Source organism: Homo sapiens, chromosome 11, assembly GCF_000001405.40.
Source record: "Homo sapiens chromosome 11, GRCh38.p14 Primary Assembly".
Classification (NCBI taxonomy): Eukaryota; Metazoa; Chordata; class Mammalia; order Primates; family Hominidae; genus Homo; species Homo sapiens.
The window spans coordinates 9,495,431-9,521,029 of record NC_000011.10 but is presented as its reverse complement, the minus strand read 5'-3'; the positions used below and the strand labels follow the sequence as shown (position 1 = coordinate 9,521,029).

The 25,599-nt window shown below is 41.8% G+C and overlaps 1 protein-coding gene across 21 annotated transcripts in view, besides 2 other annotated features; it reads right to left on the bottom strand.

Annotated features, from left to right (window-relative positions):
• ZNF143 (zinc finger protein 143) overlaps positions 1-25,599 on the bottom strand; it is a 67,513-nt gene that overhangs the window by 7,495 nt on the left and 34,419 nt on the right. For all 21 annotated transcript variants that reach the window (XM_047427553.1, XM_047427557.1, XM_047427552.1 and 18 more), the window contains 6 exons: positions 24,652-24,727; positions 23,230-23,355; positions 19,760-19,939; positions 12,184-12,411; positions 8,434-8,582; positions 4,668-4,829 (listed from right to left, as the gene is read on the bottom strand). In XM_047427553.1, the coding sequence (XP_047283509.1) occupies positions 4,668-4,829; positions 8,434-8,582; positions 12,184-12,411; positions 19,760-19,939; positions 23,230-23,355; positions 24,652-24,727 (921 nt within the window). The remainder of the gene's footprint in view (positions 1-4,667; positions 4,830-8,433; positions 8,583-12,183; positions 12,412-19,759; positions 19,940-23,229; positions 23,356-24,651; positions 24,728-25,599) is intronic.
• Positions 4,778-5,318: an enhancer, noted in NCBI's record as "H3K27ac-H3K4me1 hESC enhancer chr11:9537259-9537799 (GRCh37/hg19 assembly coordinates)". NCBI's record gives its function as "activates a minimal SCP1, AML or CMV promoter by ChIP-STARR-seq in primed H9 embryonic stem cells {active_cell/tissue: H9 hESC(primed)}" and the evidence as "EXISTENCE:reporter gene assay evidence [ECO:0000049][PMID:30033119]".
• Positions 14,058-14,177: a silencer, noted in NCBI's record as "silent region_3127". NCBI's record gives its function as "represses an Ori minimal core promoter by ATAC-STARR-seq in GM12878 lymphoblastoid cells {active_cell/tissue: GM12878}" and the evidence as "EXISTENCE:reporter gene assay evidence [ECO:0000049][PMID:35858748]".

Genomic DNA, 25,599 nt, shown 5'->3' with positions numbered 1-25,599 from the left:
CTCAATTTTGTGGTGACCTATAACAGCTCTAAAAAATCATCTTTAAAAAATATTAGCTAATTGAATCCAGCAAAATACAAAAATACATCATAACCAAGTGATATATTAGCTTTTTTATATGTAAATTAAAACCACAATGATAGACCACTTAACATCCAGTAGAATGGCTAAAACTTTAAAACAACTCCAAATGTTGGTGATAATATGAAACAAACAGAATTCTTTTTTATTTTTTATTTTTTTGAGACGGAGTCTCGCTGTCACTCAGGCTGGAGTGCAATGGTGCAATCTCAGCTCACTGCAACCTCCACCTACCGGGTTCAAGCAATTCTCCTGCCTCAGCCTCCTGAGTAGCTGGGACTAAAGGTGCACACCACACCATGCTAATTTTTTGTATTTTTAGTAGAGCCAGGGTTTCACCATGCTGGCCAGGCTGGTCTCGAACTCCTGACCTTGTGATCCACCTGCCTCAGCCTCCCAAATTCCTGGGATTACAGGCATGAGCCACTGTGCCTGGCCTCTTTTTTATTTTTTTTAGAAGACAGGGTTTTGCTCTGTCATCCAGGCTGTAGTACAATGAACATGGCTCACCAAAGCCTCAACCTCCTGGGCTAAGTGATCCTCCCACTTCAGCTTCAAGAGTAGCTGGGACTACAGGCATATGCTGCCATGCTTTGCTAATTAAAAAAAAAAAAAAAAAAAAAAATTGGACAGGCACAGTGGCTCAGCACTTTGGGAAGCCGAGGCGGGTGGATCACCTGAGGTCAGGAGTTGGAGACCAGCCTGACCAACATGGTGAAACCCCCTCTCTACTAAAAATACAAAAATTAGCTGGGCATGCTGGTGGGTGCCTGTAATCCTGCTACTAAGGAGGCCGAGGCAGGAGAATCACTTGAACCCGGAAGGCGGAAGTTGCAGTGAGCCGAGATTGGGCCACTGCACTGCAGTCTGGGCGACAGAGGGAGATTCCGTCTCAAAAAAAAAAAAAAAAAAAAAAAAAAAAATTGGTGGAAACAGTGTCTTGCTACATTGCCCAGGTTGGTTTTAAAATCCTGGGCTCAAGCAATCCTCCGACCTTGGCCTCCCAAAGTGCTGGGATTACAGGTGTGAGCCACTGCGCCCAGCCTATTTTTTAAAAACGTTTTAACCACAAGAAGCAGCACTGAACAAATGGAACTCTTAGACATTGCTAGTGGGAGTGTATGACAGCCCAGCCACTTTGGAGAATTGTTTGGTACTATCATAGAAAGGTAAATATGCCTCTATTCTATGACCCAGCAATTCCACAAATAGGTATTTATCCAAGACAAATGAGAGTATATGTCTACAAACATATTTTTACTGCCATCTTATTCATAATAGTCAAAAACTGGAAGCATTTCAAATGTTCACCAAGGGGAGAATATATCAACAAGTTGTGGTATATTCTTACAATAGAACACTGCTCAGCAATAAAAAAGAATGAACTGTTATTACATGCCAACAATGTGAATAAATATCCAAAACGTTAAGTAGAAAAACCCAGACACAAAAGAGTTCATACTGTGGTTCCATTTATGTAATGTTCAAGAATAGGCAAAACCAAGCTGGGTGCGGTGGCTCACGCCTGTAATCCTAGCACTTTGGGAGGCCGAGGCGGGCAGATCACTTGAGGTCCGGAGTTCGAGACCAGCATGGCCAACATGCTAAAACCCCATCTCTACTAAAAATACAAAAAAATTAGCCAGGCGCGGGAGGTTGCAGTGAGCTGAGAACGTGCCACTGCACTCCAGCCAGGGTGACAGAGTGAGGCTCTGTCTCAAAAAAAAAAAAAATAGGCAAAACTAATTCAATCACAACAGTTTTTGCCTAAGGAGAGTGAGTACTGACTATAAAGGAATCACAAGGTAACTTTCTAGCGTGATAGAAATGTTCTACATTTTGTTTAGGATGTTAGTTATATGGGTGCATATTTAACATAACTCATTGAATTGTAAATTTAAGATCTGTGCATTTCATTGTTATGTAAATTTTACCTCAATTAAGAAAAAACCAGATTGCAGGCAAATATGAAAAACAGGCTTAACTTCACCAGTGGTCAAATGAAAATAAACAGAATTTAACTTTTGCTTGTTAATTCTGTAAATATTTTAAAAAATCCTCAATGCAAGAGTACAGTGAAAAAGAAAGCTTTTAGATCCATAACACGATTACTAAACCTTTCTGAAAAATAATTTGGCAATATGTAACAAGCAGCTTAAAATAGCTTAAACCGTTAATACAAAAATTTGTTTCCTATGAAAATAACCAGAAGCTTTTTTTTTTTTTTCTTTAAGACGGAGTCTCACTCTTTTTGCCTAGGCTGGAGTGCAGTGGTGCAATCTCGGCTGACTGCAACCTCTGCCTCCTGGGTTCAAGCGATTCTCCTGCCTCAGCCTCCTGAGTAGCTGTGATTACAGGCACCCTGCCACCACGCCTGGCTAATGTTTTTGTATTTTTATTAGAGACGGGGTTTCACCATGTTTGGCCACGCTGGTCTTGAATTCCTGACCTCAGGTGATCCACCCACCTCGGCCTCCCAAAGTGCTGGGATTACAGGCGTGAGCCACCGCACCCAGCCTGCATTTTCTTAATGACTAATGATGTTGAACATCTTTTCATGTGCTTATTGATCATTTTACATTCCCACTAGCAGTATATGAATATTCTAGTTGCTCCACATCTTTGCCAACATTTGGAGGTGGTGGTGGTGGTTGTTTCCTCACCAGTTTCTTAGGAGAAATCAACATTTGGTTTTGTTAGTCTTTGATTTTAGCCATCTTCTTGGGTTTGAAATGCTCTCTCATTGTGATGTTAATTTGCATTTCTTTGATGATAAAAGATGTGCACTTTTTGAGTTATGAATCTTTTGTGGGAGGTCTGTTCAATGAGCAACGGAATGATTTGTACATTTTAAAACACTTTTTTGGCTCATTTTTAACGGTTGTTCATCTTTTCATTGTTGATTTGTAGAAGTTTGTTGCACATTCTCAATACAGTCCGTTTTTAGACTTATATTCAATATAGTGTGTGTATATAGTGTGAATATCTTTTCCTCAGTCTGGGGGTTGTCTGATCTTTTTCTTAACAGTGTCTTTTGGTGAGCAGAATTAATTTTGATTAAGTCCAATTTATCAGTTTTTTCTTTCATTGTTAGTACATTTTGAATACAGTCCAAGTAATCTTTAAGGTTGCAGAAGTATTTGCCTCTCTTGTCTTCTAGAGGCTTTATGATTCTGAGTTTTGCATTTCAGGGTGTATGAGACCACCAACTTCATTCTTTTTTCAAGAGTGAGACTCAACATTGGCCTTTAGCACAGTACAAGAACAGTTTTTAAATATATTACATTATTTATTTTAAGGGAAATGAAAATTAAAACTACGAAAAATACATCAGATTGGCAAAAATTCAAAAGTTTGATACTATCATGGTGACTATGCTGAAGGAGAAGAGGCACTATCAAACCCTGCAGGTAAGAATGGAGACTGGCACAACCCTAGAAGGGAAGTTTGGCAACACTGATCACAATTACGAATACATGTATCTTTGCACCAGCAATCCTGCTCTAGGAATTTATCTAGCATATCTACTCACACATATATATGCAAAATCACATGTGCACAAGGTTATGTGTTGTTTGAAATAGCAAAAGACTTTAATTGCGGCACATCCATACAGTGGAATACAATGCAGCTTAAAAAAAAAACAGAATGAGGAAGTTCTCTATATAATGAAATAGAAAGATTTTGAAGATGTTAAGTTTAAAAGACAACAACAAGATGCAGAACAGACTAGTTTACTATCATTAAAAAAAAAATGGAGGCTGGGCATGGTGGCTCATGCCTGTAATCCCAGCACTTTGGGAGGCCAAGGCCTGGGCAACATAGTGAGACCCTTTCTCTACAAAAAATAAAAATAAAAAATAAAAATTAGCCAGGCATGGTGGTGCACACCTGTAGTCTCAGCTACTCGGGAGGCTGAGGTGGGAGGATTGTTTGAGCCTGGGAGGTTGAGGCTGCAGTGAGCCATGACGTGCCGCTGCACTCCAGCCTGTCTCAAAAACCAGAAGAGAGCTATTATGTTAGCTGTGGGCTAGTTAACAAAAAAGGTAGGGGGAGATGACTATTTACTTATTTGTATTTGTTTGTATATGCTTAATGACTGGAAGAATACACAAAAAACTGATAAAAGTTGATTATCTGTGGAGGCAAGAACAAGTTGATGAAGGCAGGGGTGGGATGAAGACTTTTCATTACATACCTGTATATATTTTTTGAGTTTTAAACCATATGAATATATGACATATTCAAAAAATTAAATAGTAAGTTTTGCAAGTATTTCCTAAGTATCTGATAATGATGATAATAGGAATAGCTACCACTACTGAACACTTAATATATATGTGGGCTGAGTACCTTATATACATTATCTCATTCAATCCTTATATCAACCTTATGGGGTACATGCAACTAGCACCCTACTTTACATATGAGGAAAAACAGGCTCTGAGGGTTAAGTAGCTAAGAAGTTACAAAATATTAGTCACTCCCAAGTTTGTGTGCTTAACTGTTGTACCACATTGCATACCTATGTAACTGTTTTGGTACTGATATATGTATTGATTGACATAACAGAAAAAAGTAATTACCTGTTCCCCTTCTGTACCCTCAGCAGTAACCATAGCAACAGAGTGCGTTCCTGCTGAGGAGATGACTGCATCATGGGCGGGGACTGTGATGGGCGTGCCATCCTGCGTTACCATTGTGATGGTGTTGCCAATGGCCTGCATGTCAGCTTGAGATATGTTGACCTGCAATACAGTGAATTTTACAAAGCAGTCAATGTTTCTTGTTATAGCTGACAATCTTCCATAAGGACCAGGACTAATCCTTGTATAAGTTTGCCCTGTGGATGTAAATAAGCCTTTTAGAATGAAATAAACTCATTCAGTCATCAGAAAAATCAATACAATATTTCTTTTAACAATTCTTATATTTTTATTATTTTTTTATTATTATTATTTTTGGAGACAAGGCCTCACTCTGTTGCCCAGGCTGGAGGGCAGTGATGCAATCATAAATCACTGAAGTCTAAAACTCCTGGGTTCAAGTGATCCTCTAGCCTCATCCTCTTAAGTAGCTCTGACTATAGGCATGACCCATTGCTCCCGACTAATTACTTGTCATTTTTTTTGTAGACATGGGGTCTCAACATGTTGCCCAGGCTGGTCTCAGACTCCTGGCCTCAAGTGATCCTACCACTTCAGCCTCCCAAAAGTGCTGGGATTACAGGTGTGAGCCACTGTGCCCGGCAATACAGTATTTCTTTTCTTTTTCTTTTTCTTTTTTTTTTTTTTTGAGACAGAGTCTCGCTCTGTTGCCCAGGCTGGAGTGCAGTGGCGCAATCTCTGCTTACTGGAAGCTCCGCCTCCCGGGTTCATGCCACTGTCCTGCCTCAGCCTCCCAAGTAGCTGAGACTACAGGAGCCCACCACCACGCCCAGCTAATTTTTTTTTGTGTGTTTTTAGTAGAGACGAGGTTTCACCGTGTTAGACAAGCCGGTCTCGATCTCCTGACCTTGTGATCCGCCCACCTCGGCCTCCCAAAGTGCTGGGATTACAGGCATGAGCCACCACACCCGGCAATACAGTATTTCTTAATTGCATTTCCTCCTCTCCATTCCTGTTGCTAATTTAGATCCTTATTTTTCTCCCATCTGAATTTCTACGAGAATCCAACTTCTCTCCAGGTATCCAGTCTAACCCTTCCCTAACCATCCTCTATGTTGACATCTTTCTAAAACAAAACAAAACAAAATCTTATTATGCTCTCTGCTGCTGAAATCCCCTGTGACTGCCCATCACCTATAGTTCAGACTTTTTTTTTGAGGAGTTTCACTCTTGTTGCCCAGGCTGGAGTGCAATGGCATGATCTCGGCTCACCGCAACCTCTGCTTCCTGGATTCAAGCAATTCTCCTGCCTCAGCCTCCCGAGTAGCTGGGATTACAGGCATGCACCACCACACCCGGCTAATTTTGTATTTTTAGTAGAGATGGGGTTTCTCCATGTTGGTCAGGCTGGTCTCAAACTCCTGACCTCAGGTGATCCGCCTGCCTTGGCCTCTCAAAGTGCTGGGATTACAGGCATGGGCCACTGTGCCCAGCCCAGACTTCTTACATAGCATTCCTGACCTTTCATGACCTGGCCTTTACCAACTTCCCCAGGCTCATCTTCCACTGCTTTTAAACTAGCAACTGACACTCCAGCCACAACTAGTCATTTGCAGTCCCAGAAAGTGTCATATTCTCTTGTATTTTTATGACTTTGCTCTTCCCTTCACTCTCTGGTGAGTTCATGAAAATCCTTCAAGACCCAACTGAACACCCATTCTCTTATTAGGATCTGCAAGATTACTTTAGGAAGAAAAATTTACTCTCTCCTCCAGGGTGCCACAGCACTTTCTGTATCTCTCAATTATATACACGTCATTATGAAAAATTATTCATTCTAAAAGGGTCTCTCTCCTACTAGACTGTGATACTGCCCTTCCTGTGATTCCAACACTAAGTCCACTGACCAAAATGTCTGGCATGGGGTAGGTGCTCTATAAATGTCTATCATTTGACTGATGAAAGGAATGGAATGGAAATCTAATTCCTGAAGGAAATGAGAAGGTTAAGTGTAGAGAAAGTACAACATTGGGATGGGAAAGATAGTTGTTTTGGAATATATGAAGAAGGATAAGACTTATTCTGTATGGTCGGAGAGGAGCCATGAGAGGATGATACAGGGGTGGGTTCTGGTCTGATAAATAGTAGAATTATGGTGGCTTATGCCTGAAATCCCAGCGCTCTGGGAGGCTGACGCAGGAGGATCACCTGAGGCCAGGAGTTCAAGACCAGCCTGGATAACACAGTGAGACCTCACCTCTGAAAAAAACATGTTTTTTTAATTAGCCAGGTGTGGTGGTACACACCTGTAGTCCTTTGAGCTATGATTCTGCCACTGCACTTTGCCCTGGGCAACAGAGTGGGACCATCTCTAAAACCACACAAACAAACACTAGAATTATCCAACAATGGAACAGATTGCCTCTTTTTAAAATGTATTTATTTATTTATTTTGAGACAGAGTCTCACTCCAATGTCCAGGCCGGAGTGTAGTGGCACAATGTTGTCTTACCCCGCCTCCTGGGTGCAAGTGATCCTCCCGCCTCAGCCTACCTAGTAGGTGGAACTACACGAGAGCGCCACCACACCAGCTAATTTTTGTATTTTTAGTAGAGATGGGGTTTCACCACATTGGCCAGGCTGGTCTCAAACTCCTGATCTCAAGTGATCCACCCGCTCTGGCCTCTCAAAGTGCTGTGATTATAGGCGTAAGCCTCCGCGCCTGGACCCAGATTGCCTAAGACAGAAATTGCCTAATCACTGGGGGTTTCTCAGTAGTGGCTATTTCAGACCTGCTATAGTGGGAATTTTTCCTGTATAGGGAACAGGGAGGTTATATAAAACAACCTCCAGAGGACCTCTGTATGTGATGATCTAATTCAAGAAAAAGTGTTAAGGCTGATGCAGAATTAAAACTTGGTTAATAATCTTGCATACCAGTCAGAGGACAGAGAGTATAGTGTGAAATTAGTGACGTCAAAGTGAGGAAGGAGATAAATGAGAAGGTGTAAGAGCTTTGTATTTTCTAATCCTGAGTATCAAAACAGAGCATATTAATCATTAAACTCTGAGAGATGGGTAAGGAGAGCGTTCTCCATGAAAGAGGAAGACACAGAAGGGTAAAGAAGCACATTGTGCATATTTCCACCAGGTATTAAGACAGTCTTTGCTAGAGCTTAAAAATGGAATCAAGGTGGAATAATTTTAGGCTAGTGACATCTAGAAAATAATAACAAGTTTGGCTAACAGAGAACAACCATTACACTGTGCTTTTCCTGGGGGGAAATCAAGATACCTATTCTACCGACTCTGTGAGGCTAGTTGAGTGAACTCTCATGATTCCTGATCTCTTAATGGTGCCATCATATGCTGATCACCTCAGCCAAATCTCTGTTTTCTCAATCTCACCTCCTGCATCTAATCAGCCACCAAATCCTATCCCTTTTCTGATCTGTGTTTCACATGGATCCAGTACTTTTGAAGCCCTGAGCCTCTCTGTGGCTGACCTTTATCATCTCACCTTTGAACTACACCAAGAATACCATTCGGATTCTACAGTCACAAACCTTCTCTCTCTCCTAATCTCTCTGCACGTAGTCTCTGTAAGCAGACTACTGAAAAACCTCAGGGTTTCCAAACTTTGTGCCCTGATATTTCAAAGCTTTCCTCAATGGGGACCCAGCCTGCCTTTCAAGCCCAGGTTCACAGAAAGATTTAATTTGTTTGGCTTTTGGTGGATACTTACATGCTGAGTCCCATCCTGGGATATGAGTGTAACTTGTTGACTCAGTCCAGATTGGGTTACTGTGGCTACTTGTGTAGAAACAACGTCGTCCCCTTCTACACCTGTAACATACGTAATCTGGGACCCTTTAAGAACATCTTCACCTTGACCTGTTTAAAACAAATGAATCATTTATTTGACCAACCAACCAATTTGTTTAGAAAATAGGACATTTTAAATATTAAAGAGAAAATTACATAATTAAAATGTACATGTATTATATTCTAAGTCACGAAAATGGCTTCCAGGACCTCCTTCCAATTCCTCCACCTCCACTTTTGCAAAGGCAAACTACATCAAAGCAGACCAAACAAAAAATCTTTCTGCATCAAATTTAAGTGTTCTGATTTTCAGGGACCTGTTTTATTCTCTTAGTTGGAGTAATTACTTGATACTATATGTGTATTAGGGGCGGAGAGGGGAGGAACTGTACAGGAAAACTAGCAAATAACCCTTCAAATACAGCAAGTATGCACTAAATTCTCGCATTCACTTAAGAGGCTGTTAGGCCAGGCACGGTGGCTCATGCCTGTAATCCCAGGACTTTGGGAGGCTGAGGTGGGTGGATCACGAGGTCAGGAGATCGAGACCATCCTGGCTAACACAGTGAAACCCCGTCTCTACTAAAAATACAAAAAATTAGCTGGTCATGGTGGCGGGCGCCTGTAGTCCCAGCTGCTCGGGAGGCTGAGGCAGGAGAATGGCATGAACCCGGGAGGCAGAGGTTGCAGTGAGCCGAGATCACGCCACTGCAGTCCAGCCTGGGCGACAGAGCAAGACTCCGTCTCAAAAAAAAAAAAAAAAAAAGCTGTTAAAGGCCAGGCACAGTGGCTCACACCTGTAATCCCAGTCAGTACTTTGGGAAGCCAAGGTGGGCAGATCACCTGAGGTTGGGAGTTCGCGACCAGTCTGACCAACATGGAGAAACCACGTCTCTATTAAAAATACAAAACCAAGGCCGGGTATGGTGGCTCACACCTGTAATCCCAGCACTTTGGGAGGCCAAGGCGGGCGGATCATGAGGTCAGGAGATCGAGACCATCCTGGCTAACACGGTGAAACCCATTTCTACTAAAAATACAAAAAAAAAAAAAATAGCCGGGCATGGTGGCAGGCGCCTGTAGTCCCAGCTACTCAGGGGGCTGAGGCAGGAGAATGGTGTGAACCTAGGAGGCGGAGCTTGCAGTGAGCCGAGATTGCACCACTGCACTCCAGCCTGGGCGACAGAGCAAGACTCTGTCTCAATAACAAAAACAAACAAACAAACAAAAACACAAAATTAGGCGGGCCTGGTGGAGCATGCCTGTAATACCAGCTACTCAGGAGGCTGAGGCAGGAGAAATCACTTGAACCCGGGAGGCAGGGCTTGTGGTGAGCCGAGATGGCACCATTGCACTCCAGCCTGGGCAACAAGGGCGAAACTCCGTCTCAAAAAAAAAAAAAAAAAAAAAAAAAGAAGCTGTTAAAAGTGGTTAAGACTATTTTCATTTTCATAAACATTAACCACAAAGCCAGAATGGTTTGCAAACACACCCACTGATACTAAACTTGGTCTTTAGCACAACTGATTGATTGCAAACCATCAGTACACAATGACCTCACTGTGTAAAGACAATGTATGGCATATTATCTGAGGTATGGTTAATAATTTAGTGACATAAAAGGAACCTCCATCACTTCTTTATTTCATAAAGAACCAGTAAGTAAACAGCAATTTCAACAATCCATTACTACTATAATTGTCAACCAGGAAGATTCCTGGTCCCTCTCGTCTTTCATCACTTTCTACCTCCCATGAAGTCAGAAAGAGAGCAAAAAAAAAATGTTTCCCCCTCAAAGGACATAATATGCTAATCTAAGAGTACTTCTCAATTCAGTGGTTAATCCATGCACTCATATGGCTACAGTCATCAACGTGTAATTTCCATGACAGACATTACTTCATTCCTTTTTGTTCTGTTCCACAGCTATTTATATACCATTATTCCAACAGGTTACAAAACCCAGTGGATCATGTGAGAGAAAACAGAAATCCATCCCTATTCTTGGAAAAACAATCTTAGTTTAGTTTTGTTTTTAAATAAAATGTATATTATTATATTATAGACTATTTTCTAGAATATAGGAACTTCTGGGCTGGGTACGGTGGCTCACGCCTGTAATCCCAGCACTTTGGGAGGCCGAGGTGGGCGGATCACGAGGTCAGGAGATCGAGACCATCCTGGCTAACACGGTGAAACCCCGTCTCTATTAAAAACACAAAAAATTAGCCAGGCATGGTGGCGGGCGCCTGTAGTCCCAGCTACTCAGGAAGCTGAGGCAGGAGAATGGAATGAACCCGGGAGGCGAAGCTTGCAGTGAGCCGAGATCGCACCACTGCACTCCAGCCTGGGCAACAGAGCGAGACTCCATCTCAAAAATAAAAAAAAAAAAAAAAGAATATAGGAACTTCTGATAACCTGAAATATCAACATTTAAGGAAGAGACTTGAGGAAGCTTAGAAAAAGAGTCTTGCAAACTTAAGTCTGATATCATTAAAGCCTGCTTTCTAACTAAAAAGACTCAGCAGTTGTTGTAGGATCTTCTTATTTACTTCCTTTCTCTTAGCAATTGTCAAATATACAGTACATTATTATTAACTGTAGTCACATGCTGTGCAGATCTCCAGAACTTATTCCTCCTAACTGAAACTGTACTCTTTGACCAGTATCTCCCCAATTGATGTAATATTTAACCATGCACACTTACAGTGTTCTGGCTAGAAAATAATCACCATGAAGACTGATGGAATTGCTATTAACCTACCACCACCTAACAAATACCTGAAAAGACAAATCAGGACTACAAGGAATCATCTGAGCAGATGATCTGTTCTTTCCCTTACTCTCCAACAAACCTTTTCCACCTAAATGTTTTTCAATGCTTCAATATATGTTGTTAAAAATGAAAAAAGATGTCTTCTCTTAATTTTCAAATTTACTTCATTTAGGAGGTACTCAATGAAACTGTAAGACAACTTGCTTTGTTTTGTGTTTTAGAAAAACCGACTTCCTTTTACCTACTTACCTATGCTTATTTATCTGAAATAATTCAATGTAATTCTCTAAAATATTTTTCCAAGGGTTTACTGAAACAAATAATTTTGTCTCTTACAATAACATACTTAATAGCACCTGAATCAATGAAGAGTTATTTGGGAGTACTTCTCTAGTGTTACGATTAAGACCAACATGCTTAATGGACCCAAACAGGCTGGCTGCCCCTGCCTCGCTCTCCAGCCTTGTTTCATATCACCTTCCCAGGCAGAACTGCCCTAACTGGCCAGGCTTCATTCAGTATCTCCAATTTACTTTGGTCTCTCCAACCTCCTGGCTTTCTGCATGTGCCATTCTCTCTATTTGGAACATTCTCTTGCCTTTGCTTCCTGCTTCCCTTCCCAGCAACCTCTGCTTCTTCACCCAGTTAACCCCTATTCAACCTCAAGATCTCTCCAAAAATCCCTTCCTTGACCTCCCAAACTAACATTCCCTTCTATACATCCCAGAGTACCACATACTTTTCTTCAATAGCACTTACTGCAGCTGTAAATTATGTTTATGTGATTATACGAATGACACATTAGGATTTCAGAAAATGCTATGAATCATAAATTATGTTCATAACTGTTGATTCTCAAACTCAGAAACAAAATATAGTAGACAAAACTCTCACCTGGGGGCGGCTCAAAGAAGGCTTCCTGCTCCTCCTCGATGGGCTCAGTGTCGTTGTGGGCTGTCCGTTTGTGCATGGCCAGCGTGGAGATCTGCTTGTATGTCTTCCCACAGTGGTTACAGTTGTAAGGTTTGGAATGAGTGTGGACAACATGATGTTTGTACAAACTGGAATATTCTGTAAACCTTTTGTCACACCCAGGAACTGTACAAACATATGGCTTTTCTCCTAAAGAGCAACACCAAAAAAAAGTTCAACTTTTACATATGTAGGCAAAATCATTCCATACTTCCCCCCCAGGGGGTAAAATACCTCTAAAAATAAAGAATTGCCAAACCCCTCCTCATCCCACCATGAGGCAGCACACAAGAAAAGATTCCCTAACTATGGTTTTGACTTGACTCAAAAGGTAGTATGATCCTTAGTGCTGTCTCCATGCATCAACACCAGGTTCTCCTTAATCTCAAGGAATGAGAAAAGGATGGAGATGTTGCCCAGTTTAACTCTAACTTTAATGAAACTGTAATTTGTTTCCCATAATTAGATAATCTAGATACTGTTATAGTCTATTAATAATAATAAATGCTATTATCGTAACTTATGCAGCTTCCTAAGAATTTCATAAAGATAATAAAAAAGGATTGTCTTTAAAAGTCTATTAAACCTAGTTAGATATGTCAATACAACTAAAAGGACAAACATGTTTCATTTAACTTAACCTGACTTCTTACATCCAATCAAAAGCTACTGAGTATTCACTAATAGCAAGCAGGCAATACATAGGGAAGTAAATACTTTAATTTTTGTCCCATGAAACAGCTTGAGAACATTATAGGCAGTACACATATTTTTAGAACTTTTTACTACAGAAAATTTCAAATATACACAAAAGTATAGAGAAACAGTTCCCCATGTACCAATCATCCAGCTTCAACTATCAGTTCATGACCAATATTGTTTCTTATATTTACTACCCATTTCCCCCTTCTTCCCGACCAGGATTATTCCGAAACAGTTGCAGGTAACATTCTTTTTCTTTCAGGCTGTATACCAAAAAGATGGGTCCCAGTTTAAAAAATATGTAAACAAAATTAATAATAATTACTTAATATCACAAAATATCTAGACAGTGCTAACATGTGGTGGTGTAGGGACCTAAAACTGAAAGCAAACTGGAACAAATTAACCTAATTGTTTAAATGAATACTTTTAACTACACTGAAGGGGCTGGGGTGGGGGAACAAATAAATTAATTAAAGTAGCTCATTTACACAGTATTTGACTTATGCCCTCAGTCTTGGGCTCAGTGGCGAGAGTGAGGGGAAGAATTGCAAACAAATATTCAGCTCATTTGTAGTAGGCTTGTTTACTGTAGTGGTATGGGTGAAGGGATTCTGAAACTATTTTAGATGGAATAAAAGACTGAGCAAATGAGTAAATATTTCAAATGCTGCTGGAAGGGCTCCAGCTGTGGAAAAAGGAGAATACAAATATGGAATGGGGGAAGAAAAACAAAAAGAACCCTGTGGTGAAATGGAATTGGAGGTATTGGTGTGAACTCAGATTTTTAAAATGTACATATGAAAGTGTGTATACATATGCATGTCCTGGTTTATTCTCATTCGACACATTCCTTGGGTAACTGCACCTTTCGCAGTGGTTCTAAACACAGTAAACCCCCCCAAAAATAAGATACCACACTAATGTACCGTAACATAAGTCTTACACATAAAGTAATTGGCGATTTCTTCCTGTCCTCTGCCCAGTTCCCATTCCCAAAGCAGGCAGGTTAATGTTCTTATTTTGGTGGATAGTTGCTGAGATGTGGTGAGGGCAAGAGAAAGGGCAGCCAATTTCAACTTGGAAAAATCAGCCCAATTGATATTTAGGCTAGAGCAGAAACTGCCACTAGGTGGCACCAAACCACAGCCAAGAGGCGAATGGATTTGGATTGAGCTTTTGAGCTCCCTTACTGGCTAGTTACATAGCTTCACCTGGGTCATCTGACGAGCCTTGCAAAGAAAAAAAAAGAAAAAGAAAAGAAAAAAGGACTGCATTTCACAGGTCTGAATCTTTACTCTACTGGATATTGTGACCAGTTATTGTAGCAATTACCTGATCATTAGCCAATCTTTTCTTCCAGCCCAGACCCACCTCTTAGGTCAGACCAACATTTATAACTGCATACTCTCTCTACTTCAATTATTCTCAAAACAGTCTACTAAAAGACCTGGGGAGCTTTAAATACACCCTGATGCCTGGGCCTCACCCCAGTACAATTATGTCAGAATCTTTGCAGACAGGATCTGGGCAATCAGTCTATTTTAAAGAGATACATCCAATATGCAGACTCATTTGAGAGCACTGCTCTACCTAAATGTTCCAAAGACATCAGTATGGCCAAACTTAATGTAGGCATCTCTCTTATTGAATGCTAATTTGCCCATAAAATGTGTTGAATGGCTAGCTTTCAGATAATTAGTCTGTATTCCATTGCTTTTTTCTTTTCTTTTTGAGACGGAGTCTCGCTCTGTCACCCATGCTGGAAGTGCAATGGTGTGATCTCGACTCACTGCAACCTCCACCTCCTGGATTCAAGTGATTATCCTGCCTCAGCCTCCTGAGTAGCTGGGATTACAGGCAGCTGCCACCACACCCAGCTAACTTTTGTATTTTTTGGTAGAGAATTGGTTTCGCCATGTTGGCCAGGCTGGTTTTGAACTCCTGACCTCAAGTGATCCACCCACCTTGGCCTCCCAAAGTGCTGGGATTACAGGCATGAGCTACTACTGCGCCAAGCTCTATCTATATTCCATTAATTTAAATGGGAAAAATAATGTTTTCCCAGCCCATCCAAAAAGCCCCAGCCATTTTCTCCAAATATTACAAAAAGGCACTTAAGCACATATATTTTAATAAGAAGCACTTAAAAGATGAATTGTCTTTTCCTTTTTTTTTTTTTTTTTTTGATATGGAGTCTCACTCAGTCGCCCAGGCTGGAGTGCAGTGGCATGATCTTGACTCACTACAACCTCCACCTCCCAGGTTCAAGCAACTCTCCTGCCTCAGTCTCCCAAGTAGCTGGGATTGCAGGTGCCCACCACCAGGCCTAATTTTTGTATTTTTTGGTAGAGACAGGGTTTCACCATGTTGGCCAGGCTGGTCACGAAACTCTGACCTCAAGTGATCTGCTCACCTTGACCTTCCCCAAGTGCTGGGATTACAGGTGTGAGCCACCATGCCTGGCCATAATTATTTAACAGTAAGTGAACTCATTCGTAGGTACATGTTTATGTATAGCACACAAAAATTGCATATCAGGGCTGGGCGTGGTGGCTCACCTGAGGTCAGGAGTTCAAGATCAGCTGGGCCAACATGGTGAAACCCTGTCTCTACTAAAAATACAAAACTTAGCTCAGCGTGATGACATGCGCCTGTAATCCCAGCTACTCGGGAGGCTGAGGCAGGAGAATCACTTGAACCCAGGAGGCAGAGGTCGCAGTGAGCTGAGGTCACGACACTGCACTCCAGCCTGAGCGACAGAGCGAGACTCCATCTCAAAAAAAAAGTCTTTTGGCCAGGCATGGTGGCTCACGCCTGTAATCCTAGCACTTTGGGAGGCCAAGGTGGGTGGATCACAACGTCAGGAGATGGAGACCATCCTGGCCAACATGGTGAAACCCTGTCTCTACTAAAAATACAAAAATTAGCTGGGCATGGTGGTATGCGCCTGTAGTCCCAGCTACTCAGGAGGCTGAGGCAGGAGAATCACTTGAACCCAGGAGGCGGAGGTTGCAGTGAGCCTAGATCGTGCCATTGCACTCCAGCCTGGGTGACAGGGCGTGACTCCATCTTAAAAAAAAAAAAAAAAAGAGGCTGGGCGTGGTGGCTCACACCTGTAATCCCAGCACTTTGGGAGGCCGAGGCGGGTGGATCACAAGGTCAAGAGATTGAGACTGTCATGGCCAACATGGTGAAATCCCGTCTCTATTAAAAGTATAAAAATTAGCTGGGCGTGGTGGCAGGTGCCTGTAGTCCCAGCTACTCAGGAGGCTGAGGCAGGAGAATCGCTTGAACCCAGGAGGCGGAGGTTGCAGTGAGCTGAGATCACGCCATTGCACTCCAGCCTGGGCAACAGAGCGAGACGCTGTCTCAAAAAAAAAAAAAAAAAAAGAAAAAAGAAAAAAATGTCTTTTAATTTTGAATTAACACAAGTTTACTCTTAATACCAGTAATAAAACAATATATTAAAATTTTTCTTATAAAACTAATGCATATCCTGCCTTACGCTCACATTTGCCTTTCCATTCTCACCCACCAAAAATACATCCACAAAATGGAGCATTAAAATTAAAAGCTTCTATACTGCAAATATCATTAAGAGAATTAAAAAACCAGCCACAGAATGGAAGAAAATATCTGTAACTAATATATCTAATAAGAGACTTGGATTCAAGTCTCTCGAATTAAAGTTATACAACTCAGTAATAAAGACACAACCCAATTTTAAAAACGGGCAAAGGATTTGAATAGACATTTCTCCAAAGAAGATATACACATGGCTAATAAATACATAAAAAGATGCTTTGGCCAGGTGTGGTGGCTCAAACCTGTAATCCCAGCAGTTTGGGAGGCTGAGGTGGGAGGATCACAAGGTCAGGAGTTTGAGACTAGCCTGGCCAACATGGTGAAAACCTATCTCTATTAAAAATACAAAAATTAGCTGGGTGTGGTGGCAGGTGTCTGTAATCCCAGCTACTTGTGGGGGCTGAGGCAGAAGAATTGCTTGAACGTGGGAGGTGGAGGGTGCAGCAGGCCAAGATTGCGCCACTGCACTCCAGCCTGAGTGACACAGCAAGACTCTGTCTCAAAAAAAAAAAAAAAAAAAAAAAAAAGGCAAGGCGTGGTGGCTCATGCCTGTGATCCCACCACTTTGGGAGGCCAAGGCAGGTGAATCACCTGAGGTCAGAAGTTTGAGACCGGCCTGGCCAACATGGTGAAACCCTGTCTCTACTAAAAATACAAAAATTAGCTGGGTGTGGTGGCACACACCTGTAGTCCCAGCTACTCAGGAGGCTGAAACAGGATCAATCAATCAATCGCTTGAACCCGGCAGGCGGAGGCTGCAGTGAGCTGAGATCACACCACTACACTCCAGCCTGGGCGAGACAGAGCGTGACTCCGTCTCAAAAAAAAAAAAAAAAGCTTCACATCATTAGCCATCAGAAAAATGCAAATCAAAAGTCGGAATGAGATACCAATTCACACCTACTAAGATGGCTATAATAAAAAAAGACAGATAATAACAACTGTTAGCTGGGATAATAACAACTGTTAGCTGGGATGTGGAGAAACTGGAACCCTCATCCATTGCTGATGAGACTGTAAAATGGTGCAGCCACTTGGGAGAACAGTTTGGAAGTTCCTAAAATGTTAAGCATGGAGTTACCATATGACCCAGCAAGTCCACTCCTAAGTACACATCCAAGAGAAATGAAAACATGTCCACATAAAAACTTGTACATGAATGCTCATTGCATATAAGGAATACATATGACATATGTAATCTATTATTATTCTTAATAGCCAGAAGTGAAAACAACTGGTGAATAAACAAAATGTAGTACATCCATATAATGAAATACTATTCAGTTACTGAAAAAAGAAAGAATTTAAAAGTTGCTACAACATGGTTGAACTTCAAAAACATTATGCAGGCTAGGAGCGGTGGCTCATGTCTGTAATCCCAGCACTTTGGGAGGTCGAGGCAGGTGGATCACGAGGTCAGGAGATCGAGACCGTCCTGGCTAACACAGTGAAACCCCGTCTCTACTAAAACATACAAAAAATTAGCCAGGCATGGTGGCAGGCGCCTATAGTCCCAGCTACTTGGGAGGCTGAGGCAGGAGAATGGTGTGAACCCAGGAGGCGGAGCTTGCAGTGAGCCGAGATTGCGCCACTGCACTCCATTATGCAAAGAGAACGAAGTCAGACAAAAACCCCCCACATACTGCATGATTTCATTTATATGAAAATATCCAGAATGGGCAAACCCATAGAAGAGAAAGTAGATTCGTGATTGCTTACACCTGGGGGGCGGGGTGGGGAAAGGACTGCTTCTGAGTATGGAATTTCTTTTAGGGGAAATGAAAATATTCTAAAATTGAATTGTGGTGATGGTTGCACAACCTTGTGAATATACTAAAAAACACTGAAACACATACTTTTTTTTTTTTTTTGAGATGGAGTCTCGCTCTTGCTCAGGCTGGAGTGCAGTGGTGCGATCTCAACTCACTGCAAGCTCTGCCTCCCGGGTTCATGCTGTTCTCCTGCCTCAGCCTCCGGAGTAGCTGGGACTATAGGCACCCGCCACCATGCCCGGCTAATTTTTTGTGTTTTTAGTAGACATGGGGTTTCACCATGTTAGCCAAGGATGGTCTCGATATCCTGACCTCGTGATCCGCTCACTTCGGCCTCCCAAAGTGCTGGGATTACAGGCGTGAGCCACCGCGCCCGGCCCATACACTTTAAATAGATGAATTGTATAGTATGTGAATTATATTTCAATAAAGCAGTTTCCCAAAAAAAAAAAAAAAAAAAAAAAAGAATATGGCCAGGCGCGGTGGCTCACACCTGGATTCCCAGCACTTTGAGAGGCCGAGGCGGGCAGATCACCTGAGGTTGGGAGTTTCAGACTAGCCTGACCAACATGGAGAAACCCCGTCTCTACTAAAAATACAAAATTACCCGGGCATGGTGGCACATGCCTGTAATCCCAGTTACTAGGGAGGCTGAGGTGGGAGAATCGCTTAAACCTGGGAGGCGGAGGTTGCAGTGAGCCGAGATCGCGCCATTGCACTCCAGCCTGGGCAACAACAGCGAAACTCCATCCCAAAAAAAAAAAAAAAAAAAAAAAAAAAAGAATATATCCATAGACCACCCCGCCCCCTCACAAGCTTCACAAAGTCCAGTTTAAGAAGTACCTTAACTTTGACAGCACAACACACAAGGCCTCTGGCTACCTCTCAGAACTCACCTTGTACAAATCTTCTACATGTACTTAATGCTCCTGTCATATGGAACCACTGAGTATCATGCTTTTTCATACCTTTGTGCCTTTCCCCATGACATTTCCCCTGCCAGGAATACCCTTCTCTCTTATGTGGCAAACTTCAGGATTGAGTCTGTATGCCAAATATCTCCCAGAAACCCCTCCCAAAATGCTTCTCCCATTCCTGCAGAAGTGACTGCTCCCCTCTCTGCTCCCACAGCATCTTGTCCATATAATGGGAGACACTGCAGCAACTGTATGTCTACTATCTCTTCCCAAGTAGCCTGCCCTTGACAATGTCTTATCTCTCTATGTTTGATGCCTGGCAGGAGATACTCAATAACTGTTTGTTGAATAAATGAATGTATGACTGTTAAGGTGAAACTTTTTCAAGTTGCTTAATCTCTTTCCACCATGCCAAGTGATAGAAAGGAGGGAAGAGATTAGTTGGAAATGGTTTCTGGAAAAGGCAGGAGTTAAACTGAGCCTTGAAAGATAAAAGACCAAAAGATCAGAGATTGTTACCTGTGTGTATCCTCACATGGTTTTTATAATTTGTTGCACTGGCAAATGCCCTCCCACATCCTGGCTCTGTGCAGTAATAAGGTCTTTCTCCTGTGTGTGTCCTAACGTGCACTTTTCTGATATTTGATGTTGTAAAGGACCGACCGCAGCCTTCGAAGGGACACTTAAAGGGCCTTTCTCCTGCAAATATAAAGGGTAATACATTAAATGGTGCAAAAATATATAGAGGATTAAAATGTCTTATCCTTCAATCCTGCCTAGGATTATGCTCAAGACTCTAGCCTTCTTGTGCTGAGCTTCCCTTTCAGGCATTTTTTTGGGGGGGTTGGGGAAACAGCATCTTCCACTCCAAACTTAAATCTACATAAGAAACTGGGAATGGTATTCAAAACTAATCACTGATTACATAGCTCTCCAAGATGGAATCATCCAGGTAGGCAAAAAATGAGCTGAGAAAAGCAGAGAGAAAAACATAAGAAATATAAAAGAAAAGTACAGTCAGGAATATGAATTAAATTAGAACAAACCCAGAATTCCCTAAAAGCTTGTATCCTACTTGATTTATTCTACAATATCTTGCAGGAAAATAATTTTTGCTCTTTAAAAATATGGTGTTTTGACCAGCCTGGCCAACATGGTGAAACCCTTTCTCTATTAAAAATACAAAAAATTAGCTGGGCATGGTGCCGGGCGCCTGTAATCCCAGCTACTCGAGAGGCTGAGGCGGGAGAATCGCTTGAACTCAAGAGGCGGAGGTTGCAGTGAGCCGAGATTACACCGTTGCACTCCAGCCTCGGCGACAGAGCGAGACTCCATCTCAAGAGAAAAAAAAATGGTGTTTTAACTAATGTTCAACAAGATAATGCCTAATATTAACTGTGTCAGGAAATAGTAGGTGTTCAATACATACTTGTGTTACTGAACCAAAAAAAAAAAAAAGAAAATCTAGTGCCTAGCACATATGTCAAAAATACCTGCTGGACATACTACTACTACCCTCATAATCTAAGCTTATAAAAAGTCTGGCCAGGCACAGCAGCACATGCCTGTAATCCCAGCACTTTGAGAGGCTAAGGCAGGCGGATCACTTGAGCTCAGGAGTTCAAGACCAGCCTGGGCAACATGGCGAAACCCCGTCTCTACAAAAAAAATTCAAAAAATTAGCTGGGTGTAGTGGTGCACAGTGGTAAGTCCCAGCTACTCGGGAGGGTGAGATGGGGGGATCACATGAGCACAAGAAGTCAAGGCTGTAGTGAGCTGTGACTGTGCCACTGCACACCAGCCTGGGCACTGAAGTGAGACACTGTCTCAAAAACAAAAAAATCTGCTTTACCAATTATGTTTCTTTCCTTCATATTTGCTTTATACAATCTTGGAATACGAAAGGCCTTTAAACTGTCAAGCAAGAAGTAGCCTTTGCTTTTGATTCTCATGTACCCTTTTCTAGGATGAGCTCAAATTAGGCAAACAACTTCTGGGGAAGGGGAAAAAATCTCTCTTTATATAGACAGATACAGATATTTATCTATATATAGTAAGTTTGTTAAATTTTTTAAGAGATGAGTCTCACTATGTTGCTCAGGCTGGAATGCAGTGGCTCTTCACAGGCACGATGGTTGCACACTGCAGCCTCGAACTCCTGCCCTCAAGCAATCCTCACACCTCAGCCTCCCGGGTAGCTGCGACCACAGGCACATGCTACCACGACTGGCTAGTTTGTTGTTTTTCTTTTGGTCAAATGAAATTATGATTTCTCTATTGGTGGAAACCATTCCAAAAGATTTCTCCCCTTAAGTATGAAATCATTTTAAAAGGAGCAGGAATCTTTGATCCTATCTCTAGTAAGTTTTATTCATTATGTCAGCCTAAGGAGAACAAAGAGTTTATCCTGGGCAAGTCTTTTCTCTTGGATCTAGATGACCTCTAAAGTCTTCCCAGCTCTGACATGCTATGATAGGGAATCAACTGTTCTAGGATAATTTTCACTGTATTACTACTCTGATTCTGTAACATCCTGCTTTGTTTTTGCACTGTAATCTTCTGTATTTGTTACAGAAGTCCCTATGTCCCTTACTCAATCCCACACTATACCAATGAAAATATCATGATTTTAAAGCTGTTATATGAACATGTGGTTTGACAAATGAATACTATGAAATAAATCACAATTCTGATGTTTTTTAATCAATATTTATAAAACTAGATTATTGGTTTGATATAGCTTTTATATAACAAGTTGGTTTTATTTCCAAATTCAAGTAGAATTTATGGGAGCTTGGAAATACTCGCCTCTGATACAATAAATAAAAAGTGCATGAATGAGATGGAAGTAGAGACCTACAGCTCTGTTCCTCAATGTTGTAAAGTAAAGCCAATCTGGGGTCATAGTTAAGCTGCAGGTTAAACATTAATAGCTGCAAGAATCCTACATGGAAATTAGCTAAACTATTTCAGATATTTCCATACATGGGGACACAGTTATCACACCACGTTTAAAACATCTATACTAAAATCCCAAACTAAATTATCTTAATGCTGTATTATTTAGTCAACAGCTTATAATAGCATCTCTTATCAACAGCTGCTGAACTTTTTTTTAGCTCCAATCCAAAGCAAATATTTATCTTATTAATACCAACTCCACAAGTAATCAAATATAAGGAGGAGAGGAGATGGTCGGGGAGGTAAGAATAACGTACTATTTAGGAAAAGAAGATAAAATTTAAAGAGAAGGAGAAATGATCACAAAAAGTAATGAATCTTTCTTGCTGTGGGCCTGTTGGGGTTCAGACACTTTCTTTAGCAGCTACTTAATGCAGGAGAAACAACTGGGTGCCTTAGGTTCTGTCTCAGCTCGGCTACTAATTAGATGTGTAATCCTAGGTAAATAAACTTGTTGCCCAGACAACTAAAACCTGAGAGAGCTCGTGGTCTAGGGCCACTGTTAATCTTTTCTGGGACGTGGACCCTTCTGAGAATCTAACAGAGCTATGAGCCCTCACCCTGAAAAGCAGCAGACATGCATATACAGCAAGTCATATGGAATTTCAGGGTTTCAAGAGAAGCCCTTGATATTGACTTCCTGAAACTCTTCCAGAAACTCATTCCTCAAGTACCGTCCCTGCAGATTAACTTGGCCTAGGCCGGGCGCGGTGGCTCACGCCTGTAATCGCAGCACTTTGGGAGGCAGAGGCGGGCGGATCACGAGGTCAGAAGATTGAGACCATCCTGGCTAACACAGTGAAACCCCGTCTCTACTAAAAATACAAAAAATTAGCCAGGCATGGTGGTGGGTGCCTGTAGTCCCAGCTACTTGGGAAGCTGAGGCAGGAGAATGGCGTGAACCCGGGAGGCGGAGCTTGCAGTGAGCCAAGATTGCACCACTGCACTCCAGCCTAGGCGACAGAGCGAGACTCCGTCTCAAAAAAAAAAAAAAAAAAAAGATTTTGACACTCTGTTTCCACTAGTACCTGTATGAGTTCTGATGTGTTTCTGTAGATCTCCTGAAGTTTTGAAAGATTTAGTACAATTATCTTCCGAACACCGATATGGCTTTTCTCCTGTATGAGTTCTGACGTGACTTTTTAATCCATAACCTTTAAGAAAAAATTAAAAGAAATTTAATTACACAATACTGCTCTAAACATGCACACTGAGAATAAGCTACTGAAAAATATAGTCAATACCAAGTATAAAATATCAGGCAAATACACAGAATAACTATTTAAAATGTACAAAAGGGCCGGGCACGGTGGCTCACGCCTGTACCCCCAGCACTTTGGAATGCCAAGGCGGGCGGATCACCTGAAGTCAGGAGTTCGAGCTCAGCCTGGCCAACATGGTAAAATCCCATCTCTACTAAAAATGCAAAAAATTTTCTGGGTGTGGTGATGCATGCCTGTAGTCCCAGCTACTCAGGAGGCTGAGACAGGAGAATCGCTTGAACCCTGAAGCAGAGGTTGCAGGGAGCCGAGATCACGTCACTGCACTCCAGGCTGGGCGACAGAGTGAGATTCTGTCTCAAAAACAAACAAAAAAATGTACAAAAGTATCATAGCTCGGGACTGCCATGCTGAAAATTCAATAGTTTCATTTCTGTCTAAAAGAGGTTGTGTGTTTCTTTTCTAAAGTGCCTCAGTTTTATCAGTTGTTCTCATACCCCAAGAGCTCAAAGTGGAATCAAGACATGGAATGAAGAATGGAAGTCAGCAGGCCTGGTGCCAGTCCCAGCCCTGCTGGATGCAAAGGCCTCATCCCATTGCTAAGGCCTGTCCTGATGTTAGAGTCTATGACAGCCTTTAAAGCTTGGCTTTTATTTTCCCGCTAAAATAAACAGAATGTGGAGGAGTGAAAAGTATCAAACACAGCAGGCAGGCCAGGTGCAGTGGCTCACGCCTGTAATCCCAGCATTTTGGGAGGCCGAGGCGGACGGATTACTTGAGACCAGGAGTTTGAGACCAGCCTGGCCAACATAGTGAAACCTCATCTCTACTAAAAATACAAAATATGAGCCGGGCATGATGACGAGCGCCTGTAATCCCAGCTACTCGGGAGGCTGAGGCACTAGAATTGCTTGAACCTGGGAGGCGGAGGTTGCAGTGAGCCAAGATCCTGCCACTGCACCCAAACCTGAGTGACAGAGTGAAACTGTCTCAAAAAAAAAGAAAAAGAAAAAGAAAAAGAAAACACAGCAGGCAGAGACAGGTCAGTGGAGAAAAGAACAGAGAGGGGTCTGGAGCAAGCAGGACGAAAGGCAGTTATGAGAGAGACTGAAAAACTGATCATGTGCTTCTGCAGATTCAGACACAGCCAAGGGGTCAGTTCCTTCCACTAGCCTGTCTCTACTTGACCCCTAATTGGAACCAAGAAAAAAACAAAATTCATACTTTTACCTGTTGCAAATGCCTTCCCACAGCCTGCATGCTCACACTGATAAGGCCGATCTCCTGTGTGTGACCTCTCATGGACCTGTGATTAAAATGCAGGCATGATTCTATTTCCTTTACGTATTCCTCAGGAAGATGGTTGCAACACAGAACTACTTTTTCCCACACTGCTAAATGATTTTGTTGTATGCTTTTTTCTTATAAAAAAGATAACTTCACAAAAACGATAGCCCAATAGTTCTCAATATAGACCTAAATGTTAAATATTAAGAGATAGTTACTAATGTTTTAAGTAGGGAACAGGAACGTTTGAGGTCTGAGCTTTCTCGAGTGGTCAAAGGTGTCTGCATGAAACATACACGTGATGAGAAACTAGAAGCAGGGGGCTGGGAGAGACTACACAATGTAAGGTTAAGAGTGTGGAGGCTGCTGCTAGAGGGGCCTGGATCTGAGGCAAGGATCCACCACTGCCTAGTGGTGTGGCCATGGGCACTTGCCTTCTCTGAGCCTCAAAGGCCTCTCTGAAAAGTGGGGACACAATAGTATCTACCATAGAGGGTTGCCATGACAAATGAGTAACAATGACAATGGCTAACATTTACTGAACATTTACCACATCAGGACACTCTTTTTAGTACTTTACGTGTAAGGTATTAACTTATTTAATTTTTACAACCACTCTGAGAGGGAGATAACTCTTAGGATCCAATTTTATAGATGAGGAAAATGAGGTACTAAGAGGTCAACTAACATCCCAAGGTTACTGATAAATAGTGAAGATGGGCCCCAGGGCCACTACTCCAGATATGCTAAGTGCATACTTCGTGACACATTGAAAGTTCTTTAACAAATCTTAGCTATTATTGAGTCATGGTATGTTCTGTTATGTATAGCAGCAAGTGAAATAAAAATACTTAGCCCAAATATTTATTTATTTATTTATTGAGATGGAGT